The 10,245-nt window shown below is 35.8% G+C and overlaps 1 protein-coding gene across 3 annotated transcripts in view; it reads left to right on the plus strand.

Annotated features, from left to right (window-relative positions):
* Positions 1 to 3,130, plus strand: part of SLC26A7 (solute carrier family 26 member 7) — a 188,660-nt gene extending 185,530 nt beyond the window's left edge. For all 3 annotated transcript variants that reach the window (NM_001282356.2, NM_001282357.2, NM_052832.4), the window contains one exon: positions 37 to 3,130. In NM_001282356.2, coding sequence (NP_001269285.1) covers positions 37 to 72 — 36 coding nt within the window. In that variant the 3' untranslated portion in view covers positions 73 to 3,130. The remainder of the gene's footprint in view (positions 1 to 36) is intronic.
* Positions 3,131 to 10,245: the final 7,115 nt, after the last annotated feature.

Consider the following 10,245-nt stretch of genomic DNA (forward strand, 5'->3'; position numbering starts at 1 on the left):
AATAGCACATACTTACTTCTTCCTCTGGTATTTCAGAATTTGAGCAAACTCAGTGACCACAGTGAAGTCTGAGACCCTTTTGTCACAGTACAGCTCTTGTCTTTACCAACTGCCTGAAGAGGCCATATGCTGGCATTTTGCACAACTTTTTGGTTGTTTAGATCCTACAGATGACCTCTGCTACAATAAGTACGATGTGACTTAGTAACTGCATAGCAGTTGGAAAGAACTGCCAACTTTTTTTTCTCATTTTTGTTAGTAAGAAGATTCGCTTAGTTATTTTATGTAAAAATCAGTATGTGTTTAGTTTTAGTGTACTGAAGGGTAAACATGGTTTTATTTTATTTTACCATATTATTTTGTGTTGTTTTATTTCTATTGTGCTGTAAGTTGATGTTTAAAATTGAGAAATACTTTTGTCATAGGTAATTTGGAACATTTACAAGCCATTTGTAAAATTTTAAGATAATCTGTAACTAATACATAAAAACAACTTAGCAAATGTGCCATTTTCACACAACTTCTCTCTGTATAGGCCTCTGAAATATCAATAAGGCTAAATATTACTTTACACAGTAAGATGTGAAATTCACAAAAAGTAAACCAAACAAAACGAATGAAAAACTGGAAATAATTCGTTTCCATATCTTTCCATACATCCATTTCTGAAGTATTCAGGAATGTTTTCATAATCGAAAGAAACGGGTATCCAAATAAAACCAAGTTCTTGACATTGGTCTGTTTTGCTGTGAATATTGGAAATGCTTAGGATCTTCAGACCCAATAGCTCTAATTTTAACATTTCTACCCAATAAGAGGCTCTGTTTTCCACTGAAGCTTTGTTGGAGAAAGAGAATATGAAAATTACACATTTTATAATTTTTAGATGAGAAAATACCACTAGCAGAATAGCTTTGTGCTATTCCAGTATAAGATGAACTGTAATAATTTTTGACTTCCCTATTTCAGAGATAGTCAATATAATATGTTTATCTATATCCATATGGATGGATAGGTAGGTAGATCTTCATAGATTTTTTTTTCTTTTGTTAGAGGAGAGCTTGATGTGATTATCTTCAAACCCACCAAACCAACAGGATAATTGACAAATAAACGCCATAGGCTAGGCTGAACTGTATGTTACTGTTTTCATGCTTATACATATATTTTCAATCACATACAAGTACATAGAATTTCACATTTTAATTTAGCAAATTGATTTACCTAGGAAAAAATTATCACCTTCAAAGATAGGCATAGACACATAATTATGCTTAAGCTTTTAACAGCATTTTAACCGCTCTAAAAATTACCAGAGTAAGAAAAAGCTAGGTACTTTAAAGTGAGTTTGAGAAACAAGTTGAAACTAAAATTAAAATACCAGCCATTTAGGTGCTTTCTCTGGCATCTATAAAAGTAAATTCTAGTGCCTGCCAAGTGATGGATTATAATGGTCTCTAGCAAATGTGTGGTAAACATTCATATGGCCATTAATTTTAACATTAAATCGTAGGTAGGGCAATGTAGTAAAATGAAAGAGAATTAAGAAAGGTTTTGAATTCTTATAACATATCCAGCCATTTCAATTTTGATTGAAATGAACTACAAAGAATAGTGTTTGTCCCTATGGTAGCCTCAGTCTCTTTATCACTAACTTGGATTGAAATGAGTGAGGCCAACTCACATTCCCATCAAACACTCTTCCAAGGAAAAGCAGAAGTAATAATTGGAGGTAAAGTTTCCTTAGAGAAAATAATTTTATTCTGCTTTGTCCAATTAAATTATTCCAATGGCGGATGGTAATATTCACCATCTCTAATTCATTGGTCACTGGTAGGTAAGCATGAGTTAAGGAAAGTCAAAAATGAAAATATATTTTGCTGTGTATAAATTGATATTTTGCTATGCAACTCCTGTAATTGAATTTGTATAATGCAGGCACTTTCTAATTTATTAGAGATTATGGATCAGTTCTGACATTAAAATCATAGTTAATTGATGGATGGTTTTTATAGTTTGTTGATAAAGTGGACACAGTATTGTCTGAGCAGTTATATTTTAATGCATTTCAGTGTTTATAGTAGAAGTTTAGTGGATAAAACTTTAAGTCCAATAACTTGGGGGTCAAATGCTAATGTTTTATTCAATGTAAAGGAAGACCAAACCATGTACCTTATGAAGACCTTTGTTTTAAGACTTCCACACACCAAGGCTACAATGACTGTTAACCTGGAGGAAGTCTCTGGTATGGAGTTCTGAGAGCTTAAGAGCTAAACATGAGTTTAGACACACAAGATTCTAAAATGCAAATGTTTATTTTGAAGCAGGCATTGACAACACAAAAACTGTGTAGTGGTCTTGATGCTGGATTGTTTCTAGAGTCACAATGAATTATTTTTATGAGATTACCTTATTTTTATATATGACAAACTACTTCTATAATGCTTATTATGGTAAAATAAAATTGGAAAAAATTAAAACTGACCTATAAGAGTGTTAAGGACCTAATAGAGTGACATATATAAATTAAGCATAAAATATGTAACCAGGAAAAGACTGTTAACATTACATTTATGCAAATTAAATGCCCTTAAATTTCACCATTTGTCTTTCATTTTAAAGGTTATTTGCTCCCGATTATATGATTCAAGTGTTATAAGTTTTAGCTTGAACTACTTTGCAGTAATTTATTTGACAGATCTCTATTCTATAAATGTGTAATGTGATGAAGAAAGAGATCTTTCTTTTTTAATGAAAACATTAATGTGTTAATACCCTGTATGGATAATGCTTGACATTTAGTGGTTTCCAAAATATATTAGTATATTGTTGAACATACATTATGCCTTAGAAATGCACATTCTGTATTTTGTGGGATGATAATCTAATTCAGTATAGAATATGCTGTTTGGCAATGAGTTTGTGGCCAGATTTCAAATAGGGAGTTAAGTGGTACTTTCACAATCCAAAGATTTTTAGTTAAAAATCATGTAGTCTAATATGCTGCAGTTATTTTTTTATATTTTTCAATGCATTTAATTATCTTTTTTATAATTCTTTGTACTAACTCAGCATGTAACAACCAATTTACATGGAAATAAATCGAAATATGATAACTATTATGCTTAAATGGATTTGCGTCTATTATTTCATAGTATTTACTCTCCTGCAAAGCAAATAATACATACTGTTTCTTGGAATGACCGCAGAGTATTATGTGTTGAATATTCCTGGAAGTATCCATTATTCTTGGTAATTTGTTCTTACAAAATCTCAACCTAGGACTGTAAGATACTGTGCCTTAATTTATGGACTGCTGATAAGAATACTTTTTGCTACAAAACTACATTTAGACATACTCTTTTACCAGATTTACATCCTTTGCATTTCAATTTTAATTAATATATACATTTTAATTTTTTATTTGCTTTGGCTCTTCATTATATACTGTTGTTTGTCTTTCCTGACTTCCTAGGCTGAATTCAATATTCTTCAGTCTATTAAAGGCTACTTTTCCAAAGACAAGAAGCGAAGGAAGTCTTCTAGGTGTTAGAGATATGGCAGATAATAAAACAGAAAAAGAATAAAAGCCCTCACAAACTTTGTTCTAACAAGGGAAGACAAAATAGAATACGTTTAAAATGCATTTATTGTAAGTTAGATGATAATATGTGCCAAAATGAAAATACATTAAGGAAAGATGACAGGAAGTATGGCAGAGGATAAAGTGTTGCCTTCCTACATAGGGTGGCAGTAAGGTGATAAATGGTAGTGTCTTAGTTCTGGCTGCTATAACAGAATACCAGACTACAGCGCTTAAACAATCAAAAGTTAATTCTTAGTTCTGGAGTCTGAGGAGTCCAACTTGAAGGTGCTAGTCAATTTGGTTTCTGGTGGGGGCTCTCTTCTTGGGTTGTAGATGGCCACCTTCAAACTATGTCCTCATATGGGGGAGAGAGAAAGAGTGAGAGAGAGAGAGCACTCTTCTTATAAGGACACTAATCTTATTGGATCAGGACCCATTCTTATGATGTTTAACCTTAATTACCTTCTTATAGGTCCTGTGTTCAAATGCAGTCACTTTGAGGGTGAGGGATTAAATTTTGGGGAAACACAATTCAGTCCACAACATTCTAGCCTTCACCAAATTCATGTCCTTATCATATGCAAAATACTTTCATTACATCCTAAGAGCCCCAAAGGTCCTGACTCATTCCAGCATCCACCCACAAGTCTAAAGTTCAAAGTTTCATAAAATATCATCTAAATCATACATAGATGAGAATAGAAACAAGATTAACTCTTATGCAAAATTCCTCTCCAACTGTGAACCTGTGAAGCCAGAAAAGCTATAGGCTTCCAAAATACAATGGTGGCATTGTCATAGAAATGATATCCCCATGCCAAACAGGAGAAATAAGAAAGAAGGAAGTAGTGACAGGTCCCAAGCAAGTCCAAAACCTACCAAGGAAAATTCCATCAGACCCAGAAACAAAAATAATTCCTTTTGCTTTGATCCCCCACCTCTTTGACCCTCTGGGGTAGCAGTCCTGCCTCCAGAGTTCCACAGGGTGGTTCCACCAGGTGGTTCCACCCGATCGCTTTGCAGGGTCTTCCCACCCCTAGAACTTCAATTTGAGGCTGTCTGCCCTATTAAAATTGAGGCAATGATCCCACCCTTTGAAACCAAGGAGGCAGCATGGATGATCTCTGAGTTGCTTGTGGTGTCATTCTTTCTTTTTTTGAAGAACAGCACATGTTACAGCTGAGTAGCTCTATGGTGGTGTGCTGTAGAACCTAAAAAATCTGATCGCTGTCCTTCATTTTGTTCCATCTCTGTCCCCTTCAGTTCAAACTGGCAGTGGTTTGCTGACGTAATTTTATCTCTATTTCTGGCTCCTGCTGAGGTGGCTAATAAGCAGATTCATGGTTCATAACCACATTAATCTACTTATTAAATGGTTGTTTAGCCACACCCTTAGTGTTCTCTTCAGAACAAGATTTCTCATTTTATGCAATATGAACAGACTTATAACTTACCACATGTTCAACTTCTTGTTACTTTCTGCTTAACAACTCCTTGTTCAATTCCCCTTTCCCCTCATATTTTACTAAAAGCAGTCAGGAGCAACCAAGTCACTCGTTACAATGTTTTGCCTAGAAATATCCTCAGCTAAACATCCAGTTTTATCACTTGTGTTCCTACTTTCCAAAAAAACACTAGAACATGGTGCAGCCAAGTTCTTGACCACTTTACAACAGGAGTCGCCTTTCCTCCAGTTTCCAATAACATGTTCCTCATTTCTATCTGAGACCTCAGCAGAATGGCCTGTTATGACCGTATTTCTACTAACCCTCCATTTAGGATTACTTATTTTTTCTCCAAGAAGATGGAGGCTTTCTCTTTCCTTTTCTTTTTGAGCCCTCACCACAATCGCCTTTAAGTTCATGACAGTCCTTTCACAGCAATCCAGGCTCTTTCTAGCATGCACCTCAAAACGCTTCTTCCACATTTTTAGTTATTTGTTACAGTAGTACCTCACTTCTCAGTACCAAAATCTGTATTAGTCTATTTGGGCTGTTACAACAAAATACCATAGACTGGAGGCTTAAACAACAGGAGTGTACTTCTCTCAGTTTCAGAGGCTACAAGTCCAAGACCAAGGTGCCGGCCAATTTGGTTTCTAATGAAGGCTCTCTTCCTGGCTAGTAGAAGGATGCCTTCTCTCTGGGTCCTCAGGGAGGAGAGAGAAAGAAAGAGTAAGCTCTCTGCTGTCTCTTTTATACAAACACTAATTTTATGAGATCGGAGCCTGACACTTATGGCCTCATTTACCTTTAATTACCTCCTTATAAGTCCTATCTCCAAATATAGTCACATTGGAGATTAGGGCTTCAATATATGAATTGTGCAGGGACACAATTCAGGCAAAAGCAGGGAGTTATGAATTTCCTAGAATTTTAACAATTTTCTCTTTTTTTTCAATCTGAAAACCGGCCGTACTAGAATTGTATTTTCATTTACTGTATGTCATGCTTTTGTATTAAAAACATAATAATTGATCATGGTCTGGTTAAAACATTCTGCTGCTAGAGACAGTAGGTTAGCATAGACATAACTAGTAATACCTGGCTACTCAGATGAGGCTGTGGCCATGAAACAGTGATGTGTTCAGGAATGGATTTGCAACATGCCAATGGTGATTCAGAAGCTGAGGCATATGATATTCTGGTGATGGTTCCTAATGATTAGCTATCTCATTAAAGAAGATAGAATTGAAGTAGCTCGTCTAGTTTTCTCTAAGTTATCATACTGTTTTAACAAAAATAACAGCATAGACTTGCTTAATTTCACCAGTTGTCTCAGAGATAGGCACAGAGCACAGTCTTGCTGATAACTTTCCACTTTGAGTTTTTGCTTTCTTTTGTTTTGCTTTTTTTTTTTTTAAAGAAGAATGCTCAGTTACTCCAAGTTGATTAAGTTGTTGGAAACAATCTCTTTTAAAGTACTTCCTATTCAAAAATCCTTACTTTTTTTTTTTAATTGATTCAGCAACAGGATTTTTTTTTTTTTTTTTTTTTTTAGACAGGGTTTCTTTCTGTTACCCAGGCTGGAGTGCATGTGGTAGTGTGATCTCAGCTCACTACAACCTCCGCCTCCTGAGTTCAAGCAATTCTCCCACCTCAGCCTCCCATGTAGCTGGGACTACAGATGTGCACCACCACACTTGGCTAATTTTTGTATTTTTCAGTAGAGATGAGGTTTCCCCATGTTGGCCAGGCTGGTCTTGAGCTCCTGACCTCAGATGATAAGCCTGCCTCGACCTCTCAGAGTCCTGGGATTACAGACGTGAGCTACTGCACCTGGCCAGAAATTCATTTTGATCAAACTTATCTCCTTTCTCTTCTATATAATAAAGACTATTCCCTATAGTAAGTGTAGGAAGTTTTTCAGAATTTTTTTTTATTTGGAGCCTCTTGTTTTAAAGAGTCATTTAGAAATTGGCTCATTAATAAGTCCTATAAGTATCCGTAAATTACAAGAACAGTTGTTACATTAAAAAATAAAATACTTTGATAATCAAGTAAATAAAAATAAAACTAGAAATCTATCTTTATTTCCTTTACTACTAGAGCTACTTTTTAAAATCTTCTTGGTTTTGAAGCAATTTATGGACTCATAAGGCTAGAAAAGTGAGGAAATACAGAACCTCTTTTGGACTAGCATGTGTCTTCCAGATCAAATTTCATATTTAAACGCCTCTCTTTCTATACTTCCATTCACCTTGATTTATATCTTACAGGCTTCTCAAGCTTCCATGCTCCCTATTTTCTTAAATTTGTAGTTAGGGACCTATTGTTTAAATAGGGGTGCCTTAATTTATGCTAACAAAGCCTGAGAGAGGAGGAAAGGGAGAGAAGTGAACGCAATTTCTAGGCATTGAATGGATTTTGTGGGGAGAAATAAAGGCTGAAGATAAGGCCAGGCTTACAAAAGATATTTCAGGAGAAAGTTAGTAGGTATGATTGACCCTGTGGTGGTATGATTTCAGGAGTATCTAAATGTCTCCTAAGTCCAAATATCTACTTCACAGTCTTCCAAGAGGCTTGAAGTTCTCATCATTAGTCATTCACTTGGGCTGGAGTAAATAGTATGTGAAAGGAAAAACACATGGAAGCCATTGTAACACATTGTGTTAGCCTTATAAAGAACCAGTTCATCTAAAGAGCTTATAAGACATTGTCCCCAAAGACCTGAAATAACAAAGCATACAATAAATTTTGATGAAGAAGCATGGTTAAGAATATTTTGGGTGCTGCAGAGGACAGGGTTTGGGGTGGTAGCATGGTGCTGGGAGGCAAGATGGGTGGTGAGGGGGAATGGATGGGGGAGGGGAGGCAGGCTGAGTGACAGGCCTCAGGCATTTTTGGATGACCGGTTCTTCCCTTGCCCCCAACCCCTGGTGACACAGACATGGCAGAACTGGGTTTCATAAAGCCAAACACAATTCTTCCCACACTGCAACTCTTTCTGGGGCTCGGATCTATGCCTTTTGCTTTGCCTCGGGAATTCAAATTTGAGAATAACAGTGTGATTGCCCTAAATGGGATTGGCATCTAATTTCTGTCTCATGGAAACCTTTTGTTTTTCCAATTGTCCCTCTTCACCTAGCCAATGAAAACATTGAAGTAGTAAGAGTCTAGCTTAAGAGAGTAGAGGTTTAATCAATTAAAATCAATCAAATGATGTTGCTAGAGTCCTCCTGAATCTTGTTTGAAATGCGAACCTTATAACATCTACACCAGAATTGTCATGAGTGTTTGTTTGCTAAATGCAAACAGATTCCAATGGCCTACACAAGACTTAGTGAATCAGGATTTATTTGGGGTGGCCTTGGGAATATGTATCTTAAAATGATAATCCCTTTAGTTTTAGACCCTAAAGTTTAGGATCACAGTCACAAACACTTTCTTTAGTCTGGTATTTAAAAGAAGCCCTGTACTATAATTCTTAGGTACTTATGTTTTCATCACTTCATCTGTTTCAGCTTGTGCATCAGTCATAATGTATTGTTGCTGTATAGTATCCCTATAGTGTTATTCTTAGGTAACAAAAACTGGGTACATAGTTATGTCACATTGCAAAGGACAATGTCAGATTAACCAAAGCCTTTGCTCAATATGATTATGTCAGGCCAGAAAGTATCTGAAACATATTATCCCTATTCATATATTCTTGGGTGACTTACAATAGTTTTCCTAAGACTGGAAGTTGGGATGTAATATCCCTTATCATGGAAAATTTAAATCTTCTCCTTGTTTCACAAATTTATACTTTTCCAACACATATTGATGTAGTCATATAAGAAAATGATCCCATCCTCCGAGTTGCCTCTCATACACATCCACTAAAAATACATCGTAAAAGAAAAGGAGATATTTCCCTTCCAGCCTGAGGCTATATGGGTAATTATTTTCTTTCAACACCTTCATTGAAATTCCCTGTGTAATGCTACCAGAGTGAATTATAGTTAAACCTTTTATTCTGCACATATGGAGCTGGAATAAAGAGATGGTGCCAGCAATATTACTCAGCTACTTTCATTTTGGGGATTGAGGCTGATGTAAACTATCATAACTAGAGAGAAAATGATATTCAATTATGAATCACTGCCAGATGTGTGAATGTATGTCTTCAAGTTTCATTTTCTGGAATATGCTTACTGTAGTTTATTTCTTATCCACTTTTGAAGTGATTCTCATTCCATGGGTAATAGATTTAGTGGCATTAAATGTTCAGAACATCCAAAAATTAATAAAATATATATTTGGACTCCGTCTCACAATCCAAAACAGAAATCAGAAACTGATCTAAAGTGTATGTTAGGTAACAATGTTCTGTAGCCCGAGTTGCAGAGGAGCTGTGTGGGGCACTTCACTGTGCATCTCATACCACACTTGCCCAGAGCACCGGCAATGTGAAGGAAAGAGAGAGAATAAAGGAAAATAGGACACAACAATTAGAAAAATTACTAGCAGCCTGAGTAAAAATGGGGGAGAATTTGATATTTCTGTTCTTGAGACTCAGGATTCCAACTCTTGTGGTATATAGAGACTCAATTGTTTGGTATCCAGATGAGGTGGCTGGAAGGTAATCCCATTTCTGCAGTTTGGTGTTCCTGAAAATTCCTTCTCTCTATCCTAGAGTGAACCTTTAGTGCTGTCAATGCTTTCACTTCTCTGTGCTTAGTAACTTTACCATTCCCACTTTCCAGTATTCCAAGATGCAACTACATCTTTAATCTCCCTTCTAAATCCTGTTCCTAAGGGCCTTCCACAGATTATCTTGCCTCTATCTTCAGGAAGCCATTATGCGTTTTCTTCCTCAACTTTCTATTCATTGCCTGGTAACCTAAAGATATGTACATCAAAATCCATATGTACTTGTATTTTTTGAAGCAATTGGTGGAACCGTCCTTTTTTTCTAATCAAGGTCAAATGTGCTACTCTGAATTTCTCTTAACCTTGCTTGTTAATTTAGTTTCACTTGTGTTAAAAAAAAAAAAAACAAAAACTTCCACTGTGTTTTCCCAGGCACATCTCTATCAGTTAATTTTCCAAGTGTCTTTGATCTCTTTTACTAGACTGGATGTAACTATAGTATATTAAAAATAAGTTATTTATCCTCTCTCTTAAAACAAAAATCTTCATTTGGCCATGCTTCCTTTTCTGCCCTTTATCTCT

This window comes from Homo sapiens, chromosome 8 (genome assembly GCF_000001405.40).
Source record: "Homo sapiens chromosome 8, GRCh38.p14 Primary Assembly".
NCBI classification, from domain to species: Eukaryota; Metazoa; Chordata; class Mammalia; order Primates; family Hominidae; genus Homo; species Homo sapiens.